The sequence below is a fragment of the Homo sapiens genome, chromosome 6, assembly GCF_000001405.40.
Source record: "Homo sapiens chromosome 6, GRCh38.p14 Primary Assembly".
Taxonomy (NCBI): Eukaryota; Metazoa; Chordata; class Mammalia; order Primates; family Hominidae; genus Homo; species Homo sapiens.
In genome coordinates, this window is record NC_000006.12 from 170434114 (window position 1) to 170453571 (window position 19458).

At 52.8% G+C, this 19458-nt stretch overlaps 2 long non-coding RNA genes across 2 annotated transcripts, besides 6 other annotated features; one reads left to right on the forward strand and one right to left on the reverse strand.

Moving 5' to 3' along the window:
- Positions 8 to 302: a silencer, noted in NCBI's record as "tiled region #11687; K562 Repressive non-DNase unmatched - State 20:ReprD". NCBI's record gives its function as "represses a minimal TATA promoter and a strong SV40 promoter by Sharpr-MPRA in K562 cells {active_cell/tissue: K562}" and the evidence as "EXISTENCE:reporter gene assay evidence [ECO:0000049][PMID:27701403]".
- On the forward strand, positions 2119 to 6907 carry LOC107986676 (uncharacterized). The gene is made up of 2 exons (XR_001744494.3): positions 2119 to 4601; positions 5234 to 6907. It is a non-coding gene; the product is annotated as an uncharacterized LOC107986676 (long non-coding RNA).
- Positions 3894 to 5663: an enhancer, noted in NCBI's record as "VISTA enhancer hs1310". NCBI's record gives its function as "enhancer in: neural tube[4/6] | hindbrain (rhombencephalon)[5/6] | somite[3/6] | midbrain (mesencephalon)[5/6] | forebrain[5/6]" and the evidence as "EXISTENCE:transgenic organism evidence [ECO:0001131][PMID:17130149]".
- Positions 3973 to 5172: an enhancer, noted in NCBI's record as "CDK7 strongly-dependent group 2 enhancer chr6:170747174-170748373 (GRCh37/hg19 assembly coordinates)". NCBI's record gives its function as "activates an origin of replication core promoter dependent on BRD2, BRD4, P300/CBP, MED14 and CDK7 cofactors, with strong dependence on CDK7, by STARR-seq in HCT116 cells {active_cell/tissue: HCT116}" and the evidence as "EXISTENCE:reporter gene assay evidence [ECO:0000049][PMID:35650434]".
- Positions 5881 to 6459: an enhancer, noted in NCBI's record as "H3K4me1 hESC enhancer chr6:170749082-170749660 (GRCh37/hg19 assembly coordinates)". NCBI's record gives its function as "activates a minimal SCP1, AML or CMV promoter by ChIP-STARR-seq in primed H9 embryonic stem cells {active_cell/tissue: H9 hESC(primed)}" and the evidence as "EXISTENCE:reporter gene assay evidence [ECO:0000049][PMID:30033119]".
- A 710-nt stretch (positions 6908 to 7617) lies between the features above and the next one.
- LOC124901477 (uncharacterized) lies at positions 7618 to 13876 on the reverse strand. Its single transcript, XR_007059900.1, has 2 exons — positions 13013 to 13876; positions 7618 to 12257 (listed from the first exon to the last, which is right to left on the reverse strand). It is a non-coding gene; the product is annotated as an uncharacterized LOC124901477 (long non-coding RNA).
- Positions 9780 to 10010: a silencer, noted in NCBI's record as "fragment chr6:170752981-170753211 (GRCh37/hg19 assembly coordinates)". NCBI's record gives its function as "represses an EF-1alpha promoter that drives an FKBP-Casp9 reporter gene in an ReSE screen in K562 erythroleukemia cells {active_cell/tissue: K562}" and the evidence as "EXISTENCE:reporter gene assay evidence [ECO:0000049][PMID:32094911]".
- Positions 14328 to 14835: an enhancer, noted in NCBI's record as "H3K4me1 hESC enhancer chr6:170757529-170758036 (GRCh37/hg19 assembly coordinates)". NCBI's record gives its function as "activates a minimal SCP1, AML or CMV promoter by ChIP-STARR-seq in naive H9 embryonic stem cells {active_cell/tissue: H9 hESC(naive)}" and the evidence as "EXISTENCE:reporter gene assay evidence [ECO:0000049][PMID:30033119]".

Consider the following 19458-nt stretch of genomic DNA (forward strand, 5'->3'; position numbering starts at 1 on the left):
AAACACTCCCCTTGTCTTAGTTCCGGTCGCAGACCCTGAGTGTGGAATTGGGCTCCCGTTTCTTAGCCACTCAGCCTGACATGCTGGTCCCGGCCTGGACCTCAGCTGATGGGGAGCTCAGGTTACAGCAGGGAGGAGATGAGTGTGCTCTGTCCTTGCAGGCTCAGGTCTGGGGAAACACAGACAAGGGTGGCTGGACTGGAAGTCCATGTCGATCGGTGCCGTGCAGAGCTGGCACCCCAGCCGTCTGTGAGGTCTGTGGGTGCAGCAGGTCTTCCCGCAGCTTCCCCTCCCCCAACACCCTCCATGTCCCGACTTTGTCCATGCAACCGTTGGTCACTGCTGCCCTCCATCCTGTGGCTGAGGATTCACGGATGCCTGGACCACATGCTCTGGAGTCATGATCTACTGGCAATACTTGTCGATCTTTGCTTTGGAATTCGGGATTGAGACGGGAAGGGCTAAATTTAGCATCTGCATTCCCACATAGCAACCTCATCAGGTTCCCAGAGCCTCTAGAAGCTCCAGGTTGAGCCTCCAGGAAGGCAGCACAGCTTGGGGGACAGTACCTGGGGCCACGTCAATGAGGGAAGGCTGGGGTTTGCTTCAGACAGCACTTTGCAGGGGGTGGGGCAGGCCGCAGTGACTCGCAGCACCATGACCTTGACCACCCTATTTGGCTGTGCGCGTGTCTGAAAGAAGTGCTTACCCTGGGGAACCAGGAGGACTTCAGAGTCCTCTGGAGAAACCCACGGGCTCACAGCAGCCCTGCATTCCCTCCACCTGAAGCGGATCTTTGCGGTGAAGACAGGGGCAGGTCCCGAGAACCAGACTCCGGTCGTCATTCCTGCAGCTTGGAACCCACCGCAGCGGGCACGCAGGACAGCCAGCCCTGTGGGCAGAGCGCAGGTTTCACGGTGGGCAAAAGTCGACGCCCCCAGCCGCCTCTGGGTGGACGAGGGCTGCCTGGCATCAGCACAGCTGAGCATCTACTGAGGTGAACTTCCCAGGGGCGGAGAAACTGCGAACAACACAAGCCTGATTAGGAAGAAAAAACTAACTTGAAACGAGCCTTAGTACTTTTGGACGTTGAGTTGAAAGCTGGGTAGATATCTTTAGATTTTTTTCCCTGCCCACTAAAGGCCTCAGCGTGAAGCGGCCTTTCCCCAGGAACATCCCCAGGTCTCCCCCACGCGAGGCTCAGGCCCGGCTGTCAGCACGGGAGATTGACAGGTGATGCCGCCTTTCCCCAGGAACATCCCCAGGTCTCCCCCACGCGAGGCTCAGGCCCGGCTGTCAGCACGGGAGATTGACAGGTGATGCCGCCTTTCCCCAGGAACATCCCCAGGTCTCCCCCACGCCAGGCTCAGGCCCGGCTGTCAGCACGGGAGATTCACAGCCTTGGCTGGGCTGTTGTGAGACCCTGAGGGCAGGGGATTGCCTTGCTCATTTTCGTGTCCCCCACAAGGCTTGAGACAGTGACTTCCACACAGTGGGTATCCAACAAATATTTGATTGGGTTTTGTAAAATTCCAGTTCCCAAAATGCATCATTCTGAGAGAGTTTTTAAATCTTTCTTTTTTCCTTTTACAGATTTGGCCCAACTGAAATAATTATGTGTATGGCTCTATTTGCCTAAACAAAGGCAAAAATATGTGTCTGGTCATGAGAGATCCCAGAGCCTAGTGGACCCCAAAGGGCACCTCAGTCATTCATCTGACAACCTCCATTTCCTCCTAAGTGTGGCTACTTCCTGAGGAAAGCACAAGTGACTCCAAGGCCCACTCAGAGCACCTGATCCCGACAGCACAGGGACACCCATCTCCTTCAGAGGCCTGTGCAGCCCCAGAGCCAACCCTGTCAATATCATGGCTTCCCAGGCTGGAGCTGGTGGGAGCCACATACCAGAGGCTTGGAGGGTGAGGGCTGGCACCAAGGAAAAGTGTGGGTTGACCCCAGGGAGAGGATGGGCCCAGCTGCCCCCTGCTATGGGCATTCACTGTGACAGAAGCAACCAGCACTCACCTCCCAAGGGCCTCCACAGTGTGTGGAAATAGAACGAAGTGTAATGAATGTCTGAATTTATAGCAGAGGAACATGAAAAATTGTCTCTGTTTAAGAAGGCAGGAAAACCTTTTTACTGTTGATATCAAGTTCATTGAAGTATAACATACATCCAACAAAATTTTGCATCTTTAACAAATGGAAATACCATGGAAATACTCGTGTAACTATCACAATTGATACACAGGTTTCTGTCCAAAAAGCTCTCTTTAGTCTGAGCTGGGGCCCAGACAACGACCATCTGCTGCTGATTCTCTTGATGCCTGTAGGGTCTGTTATGATGACCCTCCTCCATTCCTGGTCTTGCTAACATGTGCTCTCTCTCTTCTTGATCAGTCTAGGTTGGAGTTTATCAAGTTTGCCAGTCCCTTCAAAGAACCAACTTTTGGTTTTGCTAAATTTCTCTGTCATCTGCTCTTTATTTCATTGATTTCTGTTCTTTATTTTTTGTTAACACTTACTTTGTGTTACTTTTGCTCTTCTTTTTCTAGCATTTTAAGGTGGAACTTCAGGTCGTTGATTTTAAGCATTTCTTCTTTTGAGGATGGGCATTTAGAGCTATAAATTTCCCACTAACCAAGTAGTGTTCTAAATGCTTAATTGGAATGATTAAAATTTTATAAATTTTGTAAAAGTTTTAATCTGTAAAATTTATTCAGATTCACACATTTCCTTGAAGATGCCCCTGAAGCTTCCTTCGCATAGCACTGGGGTGATGTGGCATGTTTAGGGCTGCCCTGGCCTTGTCCCGCTGGCTGTTTCTCTTGGTTTTGGGGAGCTGTGACCCAGGGATTGGTGACCGTGGGCTCACTCAGTGATGACGACAGGAAGACGGATGTTTTTCACACAAGTGCCTGAAGAGAAAATGCACATTAATTTTTTTTTCTCTTGGATGTACAGCGTTGGTAAACCAAGTCAAGCAGAAAGGAGGTGGAAGGAAATTCCTGGCTTTCCTGGCAGCTTGTCTGTCTGGGCACTTCATGGTAGTTTGTTCACTGGCACCAGCGGACCTAGCAGGTCCCATTCATGCAAACGTTGTCTCTGCCCCCAGGCTCTCTGCAAAGCACACCAGGGTGTTTGTTTCTATACAAACTGGATTTATCCCTCTGGTCAGTCAAGCCTACTCCTTCAGATTTTAACCTGATTTGTTATGGAAAGGAGAACTGTCGAGCGGCTGCCCCTGCTGGCCTCTTCCCAATAACTTCTGAGCTTGCAGGTGGATTTCCACCGCATTTGACCTAGAGGCGGAATATTGAAGGCCTCTCCACAGGGCAGGGTCCTGCTCAGGACTGGAACGCATCCAGCCCAAGCAGAAATCTGCTGTGGACATTCCTGGGATGGGATAGGATCCAATTGAAGATTGTTACAGGACCCCAGAGGGTTAGCTCTGTGCTGGTATTGGGTACCAGTGAGCAGTGAATTTGTGAGGCCTGGTGAACCAGGCAGACTCGTGTAGAGCACAGACAAGCCTGAGAATACAGACCAGAGATATAATGGGAGCTGGGAAGTTGTGCCCACTCTGGACAGAGCTGCACCCAGGACCAGCAGACACTGAAGAAAGGAGCCCAGGGCTTCTCTGAAGCTGACAAGACTGTCCCCAAGAGAAAGGGTGCCTGGCTTCTCCTGGCCACAACATAGCCCCAGTGCAGACACAGCCAGGCCTGCCCTGTGGCTTGTGACCACAAGACGGCCTTCCTGGAGCCCAGCTGGGCCTGGAACTCAGAGCCAGGCTAGACACCTCCTCCACCCTTGCTGGCTGGCAGAGATGGGATCCTAGAGGTGTATCCAGGGTCTGGGCATAGTAGATGTTCAGTGAAAGGCAGTTGCTGCAATCATGCTGGCAATCAACGATGTAATCACCAATATCCTTTCTCCCTGAGCTATCCTCATGCTGGTGATGGTGGAGAGATTGGGGACCTCATTCTGAGGGGCCAAACCAAATGCAGGGAATACAAGGTCTGAGAGACGAACCACATGTCACGGTAGCCAGTGGCCAGTGCACGCGAACCTGTGTATATTGACTTTGATCGGCTTTGAGGCCGAACCTTCTGGGATCCCACCTCCATGGCCGAAAGGCATCTAATTCTCCTTTGATCCTGTAAAGGGCAGTTTGATTTCTCCTGTAAACATCCACAGAAACCGGAGGCCTGAGATAGTGACACTGGAAGGTGGGCAGGCTGCTAATGAGGATTCCTGGCTGCGATTCAGCCTCAGCACGCAGCTCTGTGTGCCTGGCTGTTGTTAACTGTGCAGTGCTCTGGTTAAGCGAGGCTGGGAGTGGCACTGGCGTGTTAGTAATCCGCACTCACCAGCACCACGCGGGCTCCCCGGCCTCTGTGCCTCTCGGCAATGCCGCACCCATGGGAAGGGAGGAGAAGCTCCCGCCCACCCTCCATCTGTGCCCGTGTCAGGGCTTACGGGAACATATGCTGCCTGTTACTCACTGACCATCTGTTCACAGAGCTGATGAAGTGTCCCGGTTACCCTGGCAACGAAGCCCTTGATTGGCGGCGGCTCCACAAACATTTGCTGCTCAGGTTTCACTTTTATCTGTGCTCTGGAATGGGGCTGGGTGGGGGATGCTGAGGCCTGGGGGCTGGGGATCAGCAGGCTGGGGGGTGGGCTGGAGGCTGGGGAAGCAGGCTGGGGTGGTGGGCTGAGGCTGGGAGGTCAGAAGGCTGGGGGATGGGCTGGGTACTGGGGGTCAGCAGGCTGGGGGGTGGTCTGGGGCTGGAGGAGCAGGCTGGGGGTGGTCTGAGGGCCTAGGGGTCAGCAGGCTAGGGGGTGGTCTGGGGCTGGGGGAGCAGGCTGGGAATGATCTGGGGGCTGGGGGGTCAGCAGGCTGGGAGGTGGTCTAAGGACCTGGGGGGACAGAAGGCTGAGGGATGGTCTGGGGCTGGGGGAGCAGGCTGTGGGGAGCAGGCTGGGCCTGGGGGTTCTGCAGCTGGGAGGCCAGGCTCCCCTTCTCCATTTTCCTTTCTCACCTCTCTCCCACCTCCTTTCCCTCAGCACTCACCCACCTCCAGTCCAGCCCTTCTCCCCAAAGTTCAGAGCAGGTAGAGCTGGGAATATGGCTGACCAGTCTGAGAGCTGGGTGGGGGCTTGTTCTTGTTCACCTGGTGCCACGTTCTTGTTCACCTGGTGCCACTACCTTTTTCCCAAATTGCAGGCTGGAGTCTAAGGGCTGAGGATTCTCAGCCTCCCAGTCCAGGGCAGCAGCTGCCCAGAAGCCACCTCACGGCAGTGGACATCTGTGCCCCCGTTTTGGAGACCTGGTGTGATGAGGACACATGGGCTGCAATTAGCTGTTAGCAGGGCCGTCCATGGACCACAGTCCCAGGAAGACGTTCTGCTCAGTTGCTCCGGAAGGGACCTAGGGTGCACTGCAATTGCGGAGGGGTGGTTGCTGCTGATCCCAGACCCCAGAGGGAGTTCCTGAGTTTTTAGCTTGAGTTGAGGAGCTGATAATGGAAGCTGCAGCAGCCCGTTCATGGCAGTCCCAAAAGGAGGCAAACCACCTCCTCTCCGCTAAGGACATCGGCCAAGTGCTGAGGCCAAAGGCCTGCAGATGAACCCTAGTGTGAGATGGACAGGCTGAGGCACAACACTAGTGCCAAACTGAGCCTTCGTTCTTTTCTTTAGCGAGACCTGGGATTGAGCGTCACAAAGTCTAGATTCTATTTATTCCACCGTCTCACAGTCTGGTAGCACATGTCTGTGGGGAGCCCTCCTCACTCCTGTCTGAGCTTGGAATCCTGGGACTAAGAATAGCAGCGTGGCCCTGCTCTGCACAGGACTGGTGTGAGTGCCAGAATGCTGAGTCTCAGGGCATGTGGATTGCACATTCATGGCATGTGGAGGCCACGTGGGGTCTCAGACAGCACAGGTGAGGGAGCTCTGTGTCCACAGGGACCACGACATTTTATCACAAGGGGCACAGCACGCCAGCGTCCTCTCTCCCAGGAAGAGAGGCCCCAGGCTGTCTGCTGTTGGCTGAGATGATTGAGTCACTGGCCCTGCCGCACAGCTGGGGTCAGACACGGAGGCCAGGCTCTGCTCCAGGCTCTCTGGGGCCTTCTTGTCACCGGATGCTGAGCAGAAGTGGGGTGACACAGAATGCCCACACCCCACAAACTCCCTGGGAAGTCAGTGTCTCTGAAAGATTCCATCTGGGACAAACAGAAGCCATCACTTGGTTAGAGTCCGCCCATCACGGCTCTGCCTGGAATGGAGACGGCCTGGACCCAGGTGTCATCACTCTCTCTGCTCATGGCCCCCAGAATTTTGCAAAATCTGTTTTAAAAGTTTCCTTGTAAAAGTGACCCGTCCTCCGTCAGGAGCCTGGGTCTCACTGGCCATTTTAGGAGTGCAGCCTTCCCGAGCTCAGCAGAATCCCTCCGTCACAGTGAGCACGGGTGGCACTGTCCTTCCCCTTCCTGGGTCCTCCCAGGCTGGCGACCCCTCGTGGCCTTGATTCTACCCTTTCAAAAGTCCAGCTCCCACCGGCCCCTGCAAGGCGCGCTGCGGGGTCACCACAGGTCTGTCCAGGGCACGGTCAGGCCCATGAGACCCCTTGTTCTATAGGACGCTACTCTCCTTAAAAACAGGGACTTTGTCCCTCACTGAATTGTAGTTTTCTGTATCATTCGTCATTGCAGCTTTGAAGCATCAAGAGTGTTTCCTAAATATGATTAAAATCTGGCCTTCAGACAGCTTTTGAATTAACTGACAAATGTATGTTGGGCACGAAACGGATTTAGGGACGTCTGCCCTGGGCTTTTACCAAACTCCAGCTCTTACACTTTATTATCTCACCTGAAATAAAATTGAAATTTCTTCATAATGTCTGATATATATTTTAATTTCTGGCAGAGATACATTAAAAGACCTGTTTCAAGGTTACTTGGCTAAAGAATGGAAAATGTCAGTTTTCAGCTGTACCATTTCCCATCTAGTCCAACAGTATTTAAGCTTCTCCAAACAAAAATAGAAGGAAAGCTTCCACATTTTTTTGTCAGGCCAGCATGACATTGCCACCAAAGAGACCAGCTTAAAAAAAAAAAAAAAAAAAAAACAACTACCAACCAACCTAATGTGTCAATAACAATATAAAGAGGCCCAATAAAATATGAGCAAATGAAACGCAGCGGCATGTTGAGAATTACACACCACGACTAAGGGTGGGTTGTTCTGCCCAGTGCAAGTAGCAATGACTCAGTATTGGGTCTATTAATATAAATCACCATTTAATAGAGCAAAAGAGAAAAACAGTATGACCAGCCCTAGAAATGCTGGCAAACAGTGGATGGAAGTCAACATCCTCCTCTGTGTTTTGAAGTAGAGACTGAAATGTTCATGATAAAATGGGAAGGAATGAATAGTTCTTTTACAGGATAAATGACCTCTGCCTCATCCTGACCATTCCCTACAGCCATGAGGAGGCCAAGACACTCAGAGTTTCCAGGCTGCATTCTCTCACTGCTTTGCAGGCACATCTCATGCAATTAAGGCACAGAAACTGGGAGTGCAAAAATGAGAAAGGAGCAGAGAAAGTGATGATTACTTATAGATTATTTTATTGTGCATCTGGATAACCCTGAAGGAGCAATTGCAAACAAATATGCAAAAATATAATTCAACAAGGTTAGCAAGAAATGTGAAAACGGCCCTGCCTCGGAGGGATGTGCACAGACGGGGCAGAAGCCAAGCAGGTATACAGACTTTCAATTTTTGCAAAGTTAGTCTCTGCACATATGATACAATCCCAGTTAAAAGGCTAACTTTTTAAAAACCAGACAGGCTAAATCTAAATTTGTGTAAGGAAATATTTAAGAATACATAAGACAAACCTAAAAGAAAAAACAAATAATAGAGAAACTATTACTATCAGATCTCAAAACATATTATAAAATTCCATTTAAAGCTATGTCCATTTAAAAATATGTTACTGGCAAATAAATAATTAGAAAGCATAGAAATAGACCTCAAAATACTGCAAATTATAAGACAAAGACATTCAAATCATGAGGGGAAACAGGATATTCATATAATGATGTTGACTAGGTAGTCTCCTGGAAAAACTATGAAGTTGGTTCTATACTTCACCAAAATTAATTCCAAATAGAGCAAAGGTGTAACTCCCAGAAAGAAAAAAAAAAAAGGAAGAAAAGAAGCAAAGAGGAGACCATGGGAGAATTTTTTATGACATTGGAGTAGGGAAGATCTAAACACAAGACAAAATCCAGAAGCCATAATAATGCTAAGAAATATGATGACACAAAAATAAAACCTTCTGCCTAGAATGAAACACCACCACGAGTCAATTGAAAGATAATAACAAGCTGAAAAAGAAATTTGCAATTAATACCAGAAACAGTCATTTCCAAATATTTAAATCAATAAGAAAGAGACCAGTAAGTCAATAAGTAAAAAGAAGCAAAGGATTTCAACTGAGTTCACAGAAAACAAAATATAAGGCACTCTTAACCGCATGAAGAAAATGCTCAACCTGCTCACAAAGCCCTGCTCAGGGCCAGGGTGTGGGCAGTCAGTTCTTGTGTGTTGTGAAGGCTACATAAAGCCCATCTCTTCGAAGAACAGAAAACTGGCCACATCCATCGCATGGCAAATGCATGTGAAACCTGGTCGAGCAATTCTATTAACAATTCTATTCCTATGAATTTATTCTATGGATACAATCATGCAGACGTGAAACAACGCATGTGTGGTTACTCGCAAAGGCAGGGCCCTATAAGCTTGGAAGTGGCCGTCAATGGTAGAGCAAGTCTAGAATTTGGAAAAGGCTCACACAGCACATGGCCATTAGCTGGTTTGTGATTCCTCCTTCATCATTCATCCGTCAAGGGCGTTTCTCATTAGGCCCTGGGGGTGTACTCAGCCCTGCCAAGCAGAGCAGGCACAGATTCTCCCTCAAGAGTTCAGAGCTTCTCACCCTGGCTCTTCCCTTAAGAATCTGGCTCCCAGGGCCACCTCCCAGGGACCCCATTGTCAGAGTGGAGGAACGGGCTTGGGCAGGTGTGACCTCCAGAATCCTCAGAGGCTTTTCCCGCTCTGGGAGTGGCTTCAGACCTGAATCATGGCAACCCAGCCCCCTCCTGATTACAGACCATCCTGGAGTGTTACCGTGGAGATGGGAGAGCCCAGACAACGGAGATGTTCTGAGGGAATTTCCATTCCTGTCTTCAGGACATTCTGCCAGGATGCGGACCTGCTAGAAGTATGGGACACCAGTTGTCTCTTTGCTAGAAGGCCCCCGTCCCAGGTGTGCCTCCCTGCCTCACTGTCACCTCAGCACAGTCCAGCGGGGCCAGGAGAAAACCACCAAGATAGCGCAGTCCCTGGGAAGGGGTAGCTGCCAGGCCCTACACTGTGGGAAGAGGGCTCTTGGGCTCCCCCTGGGCCCTGTGGCCTGGCAGGAGCCACCAAATGACAAAACTGGGCAGGCAACCTGTTCTGTTGTCTGGAGGGCCTCAGAGCCCACACGGCTTTCTCTGTGTACAACGTGTGCTTGGGGAACACGGGCAGCTGCCCTGACAGGAGTTTCCACACACAGAGTCCCTCCAGACTTCTGTGCCTCCACCTCAGAAACGAGCCACTCTTCCAAGCCATCAGAGTGCTTTTTGGTCCTGAATCGGGCCTTGCATTTGTACGTACCTTGGATCCGAGAGGCTGTCAGCCTAGAGAGAAGAGCACGCTGATGAGCTGCAGGGCTGGGATGGAGAACGGACAACAGAAGTCATCACCTGACTTGCACAACCACCTATGCTTTCTTCTTCATGTAGAATTCCCTTCCAGAGCCAGATAGAGTGAGAAGCAAGAAGAGAGCCATGTTGAACAAAATGCTGGGTCATAAGGCTGTGCCTGGCGCCTCTGGGGTGCCCTGTGAATGCTGACGGGCCCGCAGCTCTGCCTGGCCAAGGAGCAGCTCAGAAACGCCCCGAGTATGAGCTGATTTGACACCTGGCAGCTAGGCCTGGGCTCAGAGCAGAAGGCTTGTAGGACTTCTCAGTCAGTCGGCACCTGTCACCGCTGCGAAACACACCCTCAGTCAGTCTCACCCATCACCGCTGTGAAACACACCCTCAGTCAGTCTCACCCATCACCCCTGTGAAACACCCTCAGTCAGTTGGCACCCGTCACCGCTGTGAAACATCCTCAGTCAGCACCCATCACCGCTGTGAAACACACCCTCGGTCAGCGAGGACGCACAGTGGAGGAGCAGCCCTGCCACCCTCTTGACATAGCTCAGCCTCTCCACTGGGCAGGTGCAGAGGCACCTGCCAAGGCTTCTGCCACTGCCTGGCAGAACGGCCCTCTTCAGACTTGCTTCTTAGGAGTAGGGGCTACAGCGCTGAGTCCCACAGGTGGGTCTGGTCTGGAGGACACCCGGCACCCGGAATCTCATAGAACAGCCCTGACAAAACATTAATATCCCTGCTAATGATGCCTGGCTGTCAAAGCTGGGGCAGAAGCCTCAGTCCAGGTGGCGGAAAACACTTGGAAGGGCTTTGAGAACTTGCTTACAGAAAAGGCACCAGCTCAACAGGTAAAGTTGTTTCCTGTCATCAAAGCCAAAGGGAAAATGCAAAGTTTCAAGTCTACCTTCCCTGGCAGCTTCTTCAGACGAGGTCTCCCTGGCTCCCTGGTTTTTCTCCTGGCATGGCCCTGCCTCACGACGCCTACCATTGTTGCCATCCGTGCCAGGTTTGCCCACAGTCCGCCCTCGACTCTGTCCCCTCAGGCCTGGCTGCCGTGTGCCTTCCTGGGGGCAGCTCAGGGCTGAGTCAGACACCTCACACCACATCCTCCTTGACCCCGACGGCCTCACGCCCTCCCTGCCACAGAGAGGCTGCAGCCCACTTGGGCTGTTCCTGATGGAAAGCCCTTTGAGCCGGGCCCAGACCTGCAGCTGTGGGATCCTGAGACAGCAGCCCCTCTGGACGGCATTCAGGGTCCCAGGCAGCGCCTGTGCTGTACCGTTCATTCAGCTCCAGAGGTTCCTGCTGCTTGGCGCTCTGCTGCGAAGCCACTGCAGCCCGGCGGTGGGAGGGTGAGCCCCTCGCTCTGCCCACCTGCTGCACTGCGCTCTGCGGGACCCTTGGTGCTTCTGAAAACAAGGGTGGGTTTTGTGGGCTGAGGTGAAGCCTCTGCTGGGCCCAGAAGTCCCTTCTGAGAAGGAGAATTGGGGCCAGCTGCTGAGGCCTCGAGGAACACAGACCAGGATAGACACTTGTGTATCAGGACTTTGCTTCTAAGAAAGGAAACCTGTGAGTGTTTTTTGTTTTTTGTTTTTTTTTTAATGGAAGTCAGAGCCTGGAGTGAAGACAGCCTCTGTCCCACCCTCCGTCCTACGCGGGCGCGGTGCTGAACTGCAAAGGCAAAGCTCCCGGTGGAAATGGCCTGCCCGCTATTCTGCGCCCTCTCTGACAGGCCCTGAACAGAAGTGTGGAAATGCCTTCCGGGAGGGTGCTAGCGAAGTCACTGTCACGCCTGCAAGTTGGACTCAACTGTAACACTTTTTCTGTTTGGTTTCATGCAAACAATTCAGCCAAGCCAGCACACAGCTGCCCCAGGAGCAGATGGATTTGTAATTGCCGGAATAACGGCGTTGCGTCAGCTACCCCACACATCCTCAGCCAGACCCAAGGGTGATCTGCGGAGTCCAGGCTGAGCCGCTGCACTCTGAAGCCTGTTAAGCTATCGTTTGGGACGCATTTTCAAAGTTCCTGAAGTAGAATATGAGCATTCCTTCCTTACTGGTATTTTGACGTATGTCTCGGTGGAAGATTTTTACTCCTTGAATTAATTCCTGGAGAAAACACACTACAATTCAGAAACAAACGCAGGCTTTATGTCCCTTGTTCATATTTAAAAATTTAAAAGGCAGAGAAACATCCTTACTGGATTTCCCAGTAGCTTACTTAATGACGTGACGGATGCCTCAGCCCAACAGAGCATGGCTTAGTCCTGCCGACTGGAGCTGAGGGCTGTGTCTCCTCCAGCTCGGAGTGCACGGCATGACTTAAATTTGGGTGTGTGACCAAGGGTGTCTCACTCTGCTCCAGCCTGGAGAGGACTCGCCTATTAGAGTTACCTGCTGCCAGTCAACATTCTTCCCACAACACAATCCACATCAGTAGGATAGAACCAGTGGGTCGTGTAGGCTACATTCACTGGGGAGAGACATGAAAGTTATCTATTACAGAAGTTATCCACTATGGGAGTTATCTACTATAGAATGGCTTCAACGTGAAGTGAGTTTAAGGGCCCTGGAACTAGGGATGTGGGTTTACTGTTGGGGTCTCTGATTCTGAGAACCCACCTGATGCAAACTCTGGTGAAAGGAACATCCTCCCCCCAAATCACGCGAGTTCTCCTGATCGGATTCTCCTGACCGAGTGAACGTCCCCCTCCCGGATCACGCGAGTTCTCCTGATCGGATTCTCCTGACCGAGTGAACGTCCCCCTCCCGGATCACGCGAGTTCTCCTGATCGGATTCTCCTGACCGAGTGAACGTCCCCCTCCCGAATCACGCGAGTTCTCCTGATCAGATTCTCCTGACCGAGTGAACGACCCCCTCCCGGATCACGCGAGTTCTCCTGATCGGATTCTCCTGACTGAGTGTTTCCTGACACATGGGCACCAGGCAGTGCCTCCCTCAGGACACACAGCAAGGGGCTGTGGCCACATTTCTTCCCTTCAAGCTGCTCTTCCAATTCCTGGCCTCCCAATCTTCCTAACCACACCTCACCACAACCGTCCGACACCAGAAGCTCCAGTGGGAGTTCAAAGCCCTCAGTGCGGCTCTGACCCAGGCTGTCACAACTTGCCAACATGAACCCTGTGGCCAGAGCCCTCTGACCACTGACACCACATGTGCTTCCCCATATCCATGTCCCTGTGGCCTTTCCCCCGGGGAGCTCTTACCATGGGGTGGGGGTTTGACCTTGAAGGACACCACTGCAGCAAGCAGCACCAGCCTGGCGGGCCATGAGCCAGCACCCCACGGGTCGCACCCTTCCTCTCTGCTCCTTCCCCAAGGCCAGCTCCATAAAAGCTCTCTGGAGCCCTTCACGGCTGTGTGTCATCTCTGCAGAGCCTCTGTGGCTGTGTGGCTGGTATCCAGCGTGCTTAGCAACTCTCTCGTCAGAATGGATGCCAGCTGCTGGTGCGGGCCCTGCCGGCCCAGGTGTGGAGAGGGCACTCATGGACCCAGCACCAGCTCCTGATGCATCACCAAGAGCCTCTCAGCTCCACATCCCTGCACCAGATGGGGGCTCACAGGGCAGAGAGCTCACCAGCTCAGCAAGGCCATGTTCATGGTATGGCGAAGGTCGCCATCTGCCTCCCGCCCATTCTGATGGTCTCAGTCACAACCATGAGTCCTCCAGGCAGCTCTGCGCTCGTGCAGGCTGAGGCACCTCCACACTGACTCCACAAGGACTCAGCGAAGAATTGTGAGTAGATAGATGGTGCCTAACGCATGAGAGAGTGGTGAGGGCCACGCATGTCACCCCGTGCAGCCGTGAGCCAGGAGCACGAGCTCAAAGGACGCTGAGGGAGAGGGCAGTGGAGGGGCTTTTAGAAAATGGGCAGTGGAGCCAACCGAGAGCATTGGCAGAGGGTGACAGCACTGTCCCGGGAGGGCGTTTGTACGTGTGAGTGGCAGGGACCAGGACAGGAACCACCACTCTCCGTGTCCTTTACCTTTTTATTGTTTAAATGTGTTACAAGCTTGTGTGGCGCTCGTAATTAAAAGACAGACTTGGCCGGGCATGGTGGCTCACACCTGTAATCCCAGCACTTTGGGAGGCTGAGGCAGATGGATCACCTGAGGTCGGGAGTTCGAGACCATCCTGACCAACATGGAGAAACCCCATCTCTACTAAAAATACAAAATTAGCCGGGCATGGTGGTGCATGCCTGTAGTCCCAGCTACTCGGGAGGCTGAAGCAGGAGAATCACTCGAACCTGGGAGGTGGAGGTTGTGATGAGCCAAGATCGCACCACTGCCCTCCAGCCTAGGCAACAAGAGCGAAACTCTGTCAAAAAGAAAAAAAGGACCTGATTCTGCCTAACTCCTGCCTGTGATTTGACCTCTGACTCTGAAAACTGGGATCTTCCTGCAAAAACTTCAGAGATGAGGGCTTGCCCTGTGGAAAGCCTGGTGGTGAGGGCCTGCCCCGTGGAAAGCCTGGTGGTGAGGGCCAGACCGTCGACAGAATACGAAGGCAGAGATGAGCACTGTGGGCTGGTGGAATCACACCCAGGGCAGATCAGCAGACGCGGAGGCCTGAAGCGCCTCCATCTGAGATGGAGCTCTAGGCACTGCCTCCCGGGTGGTGGATGGAGGCAAAGGGGCCAGGATCTCCTCGGCGCCCCAGGCCCTGGCAGGCGTGGGCCTGGCTATGGAGGTAGAATCTTGTGGTATCTCAAAAGTTGATGCAGTTTTGAAATGCAGTTATTCCTTAACGCTAATTCCCTCAACTGTTCTCTCAATGAGTTCAGAAAGACTGAGATCGCAGCCTCCAAAGGCACATGCAGTGAGTACCCTTGAAGCTTCCGTTCCATTTGCCTGTTCGCTCTCTGATCGCTGCGTCCTCTGCTCTCGCCCAGCAGATGAGTGTGGCAGCTCTTACGCACTGGGAACCGTGCCAGTTGCTGGGGGCCAGGGACAGGGTGGTCTCAGACCCCTTCTCCAAGGAGAGTCAGCCGACGAACAGCACACAGGAGGTGTAAAAGCAGGAAGAGAAGAGTCAGGCTGGGGCGCCTCCCAGGGCAGGGGAAGGATGGATGCTGCCCAGCGCAGAGGACGGGAAAGGCTGGGACTGAACCACAGGTCTCTGCAGCCTGCCATACTGAGCCCCCCACCTCCCTGGGCCCATAATTTCCTTTCTCTGAGCTCCTCACGTGGCTCTCTCTGAGCCAGGGCCCCAGCAAGCCAGCAGGCAGGCACAGCGTCCCTGAGAATGAGTGCTGGTGGATTCTACGTCTTTGCTATTGTGAACAGGGCTGCAGTGGACACGCCTGTGCAGAAATCCCTTTGATATGTTGATTCCTTTTCCTCTGGGTGGATCTACAAGAGTGGGATTGCTGGATCTAATGGAAGCTCTGGCTTTAGTGTTGGGGAGCTCTCCACGCTGCTTTCCATCGAGGTTGTACTTACATTCCCACCAGCAGCGTCTAAGAGTTCCCTTTTCTCCAAATCCTCGCTAACATCTGTAATTTTTTGTCTTTTTAGTAATGGCCATTCTGACTGGGGTAAGATGGTATCTCATTGTGGTTTTGATTTGCATTTCTCTGATACTTAGTAATGATGAGAATTTTTTCATAGACCTGTTGGCCACATGTGTGTCTTCTTTTGAGAAATGTCTGTTCAGGCTTTTTGTCCACTTTTTAGTGGGATTTTTTTTCCTGTTGTTTGATTTCCTTGTACATTCAGGACATTAGTCCCCAGTCAGATAAATAGTTTGCAAATAATTTTCTCCCATTCAACCAGCTCTCTCTTCACCCTATTGCTCCCTTGTGCAGAAGCCCCTTGGTTTGACGTAGCCTCCTATGCCTGTTTTTGTTTTTGTTACCTGAGCTTTTGATCACACTAAATACCCTGACTTGACCACTACACATTAGACACACGTAACAACATTTCTCATGTACTCCATAAATTTGCACAACTAAAAACAAATAACTTTTCAAATACAAAAAATAATAAAGGATAAGCATTAGCATCAAAACCATGGAAATGATGGGTGGCTTGGGAGCCAAGCAGGGCCATGGTGGGGAAGGGCCTCCGCTCAGGGTCGCTCGTGGTCAGGGCCGGCCTGCGGACCGGCTCGGGGTCGCTCGTGGTCAGGGCCGGCCTGCGGACCGGATCGGGGTCGCTCGTGGTCAGGGCCGGCCTGCGGACCGGCTCGGGCTCTAATTCCAGCTCGGTGCTCTTCAGCAAGTCACTCTCTGAGCCTCAGTTTCTTCAGCCAGCAAGAAGAGCTTACAATAGGATTGGGGTGGCAGGTGGATCGAGCTAACGCTCATGAAAATGTTACCGCAGGCCCTAGGGCACAGAAAGCACTCAACCATGCCTGTTCCTCCCTCTTTCTGCAGGAACCCATGTGAACCCTTGAGGCATATGGGACCTAAGCTAGACACCACATGGCTGATAATTACCACTTTTCTTAGCAAATCTGCTACCTCACTCCCGCTCCCGTGACACTGAAGATAGGAGCGGAGCCCCTCAGAGGATGAGTGTGAGGAGAGGAGGCCTGAGGGGTGCCCCTCCCCACACTCCTCCAGGGGCTTCCATTAGCAGAGAAGCCTCACCCAGCTTCACACTGGGAGCTCTGGAAGCCCCCCCGAAAGGTGGAGTTCAGAGCACAGGACACAGTCCTTCTGCAGAAGACCACCTGTGACAGCTTTGCAATCACAGCCAGGATCAATATCACGTTCTCACCACTTGGCAATTTAGCAATTACTGAATTTGTGTCAAGAAAACACGCGTTCCATAAAAGAATCTTAAAATATGTTGACTCAATACCTCGGGTGATTGTCTTCGACACCCGCCCACTTTGACAATAGACATTACAGTGGCGTTCTAAATATTCTAAGGGATCTGCTGAGGCTCAGGAATTGCAGCCCTTTCTTTATGGTGAGAATGTGTAATTAGTAAATTGAATAGATTTCAACACTATTTTGGGAAACTGTTGAAGGGGCAATTGCAATGCTGCGGTGCTTGGGTCTCATTTTGTGTGTGTGTGTGTGTGTGTGTGTGTGTGTGTTAATTACATACTCAACAGCAGCTGCTGAGGCAAGATGAGCCAGTGTTTTTCTTCCTTCTCCTCCCAGGAGACACGGACTAGCTGTCACAAAGATGCGGCAGAAGTTTGTGAGTGTCCATTTGGAGTTTTCCCAGGCCAGGCCCTGGGGTCACTGCACAGCCAGCAGCCGCCTCACTCTTGCCTCCTTTCTGCTCAGGCAGAGCTAAGCTCTAGGGAACTCACTGTGAGCATTCCCACTGGGGATTCCCTGGGACTTTCTGGGTCAGGTCCCATCCCTGATCCTCTGCTGCAAGGGACTGTGATGACTGTGGTCTGGGGAGGAGGCCGAGGGCAGGGAGGGGCGTGGGCCCGGTATCCCTCAGGCCCATCACCACCCATGGCCACTGGCCAGCTCAGCTCGTGCCTGGCAGAGGATGGTAGGGGCAAAGGCCAGGTGACCCTGTGTGGAGCCTTTTAGGACCCATGGGAGCTCCTCCACCTCGTTTGTAAATGAGCCAAACAAGACCCTGGAAAGCAAGATCTGCCTAAACCTCAGGGAGAGCCCAGGCATCCGCTCAGCAACAGCTCCAGGCAGGCCGTGCCCAGGGCTGAGTATGGCCACATCATCGCTCGTCCCGCGAGGGACATGAGAGCCCTCCCGGCCTGAGCTGGCGAAGCTGAGACGGGGCCTTTCCCATGGGCTCTGCTGTGCACCGGCTGCTCACTTTGCTTTAGCAAGACCCAGCCAGACATCCCTTGCCTGGAGCAGCAGCAGCACCTGTGACCCAAACGTGGGTCAAGGGGTTTCCTCTATTGCTCTGTCCAGCCCCCACCCAGCCCCAGAGCCCTGTTTCTTAAGCAGTTTTAATAGGACTAAACTAAAGCAACTCACGACATGGTGGCGGCTCTCAAGCTCTGCTGTCCATCTGAACCTGGAGGGCCTTGCTGAACACAGGTCTTTGGCCCCACTCCAGAATTCGTGATCCAGGTGAAGCTTGAGACTGGCATTTCTCACAAGCCCTGCGATGCCGCTGGTGTGGGGACCACAGTTTGAGAACTTTGGACTTGATTGCTGATGACATTCAAAGCTTCAATTACAAGAACAAACTGAAGCTGTCTGCAGGATGCAGAGTGCCTCTGGCCCACGGTGCCTCCAACCCCCCAAGAAGGCTGCCGGCCCCTCCCGCACCAGCCACTGTGCCCTGGTTCAAAGGCCAGAGCCAGAGATGCCGGCCCCTTGTGGGTTCCGTCACCAACCAGCACTGATGGAACATGGCGATGCTGAGCTGCCAGAACAAGCCGCATTAAAACAGTGGAGTCCACCCTCCAGAACCTGCAGGGCTCAGTCCACCAGGAGGGTGCTGCTGAAGCCTCGCCATCCCCCCCGGAGGCACTGTCCCCTGCCTGGGCCTGCGCGTGGGCTGTGCTGGGACCCTCCACATGCACCCACCCTCCCCAGAAACCCTGCAGGACAGGGCCTGGGATGGGCAGGAGCCCGGTCACATCCCCCCTGCCACCTCAATGCCTGGGACCCCCTCAGTAGGCACCTGGGCCCTGCACCCTGGTAGCAGGTGGACGGCAGCATCCTGTGCCTGTTTCTGTCTTCAGTGAATGTTTAAAAAGCTACTGGAACCACATCCACGGGTGCACCCAGCAGGACCAGGGCAAGGGGTCCCAGCCCCGAGTCAGTGTCACCCCCACTCTCACTGAGAATGCCCAGTCCCCCGGGGCCAAGAGCAGACGCAGCCTGACAGAGTTGGCGGCAGATTTAGGCAAAGTCTGACACCTGCGAAGGCTCTTCCTTGATGGGGCCTGGAAGAGTGTGTGAGAGTGTCAGTGTGGGGTGAGGCTGTGTGTGAGAGTGAGTGGAACAGTGAGAGTGTGTGTGTTAGTGTGAGTGTACGTGGGAGTGAGTGTGTGAGTGTGTGTAAGAGTATGGAAGAGTGTGTGTAAGAGTGAGGGTGTGTGTTAGTGTGAGTGTATGTGGGTGTGAGGGTGTGAGTGTGTGAGTAGGAGAGAGGGTGTGTGTGTTAGTGTGAGTGTATGTGGGAGTGAGGGTGTGAGTGTGTGTGTATGTGTGTGAGGGTGTGAGGTGTGAGTGTGAGTGTATGTGTGTGAGTGTGTGTGAGGGTGTGAGGTGTGAGTGTGTGAGTGTATGTGTGTGTGAGGTGTGAGTGTGAGTGTATGTGTGTGAGTGTGTGTGAGTGTATGTGTGTGAGGTGTGAGTGTGAGTGTATGTGTGTGTGAGGTGTGAGTGTGCATGCGTGTACACATGTGTGAGTGAGGAGCCCAGGATCCCGGCTGCTTGGGTCTCCCTGGCCTCCTACGGCTCCTGAGGGGAAAGGGCTCCTGCCTGTGCCCTTTCTCACCTTCTCATCCCAATCTTTAAGGACAGAGTGGGGACAGCTCCCAAACCCAAGGCCTCAGGAACGGGGAAATGGTGGCCCCAGCTGCCAATTGGAGCAGCCTCTCTGTCCCTGGCACCTGGGAGCAGCTTCCAAGGGGCCCGAGTGGCGGAGGAAGCAGCCTCCCCAGCTCCTTCTTTAGTCCGTGGACACCCTCACAATAGCCCTTTGAATATTAACTCCTTTGTGCCCCAGATAGCATCTCATCTTCCTGAAA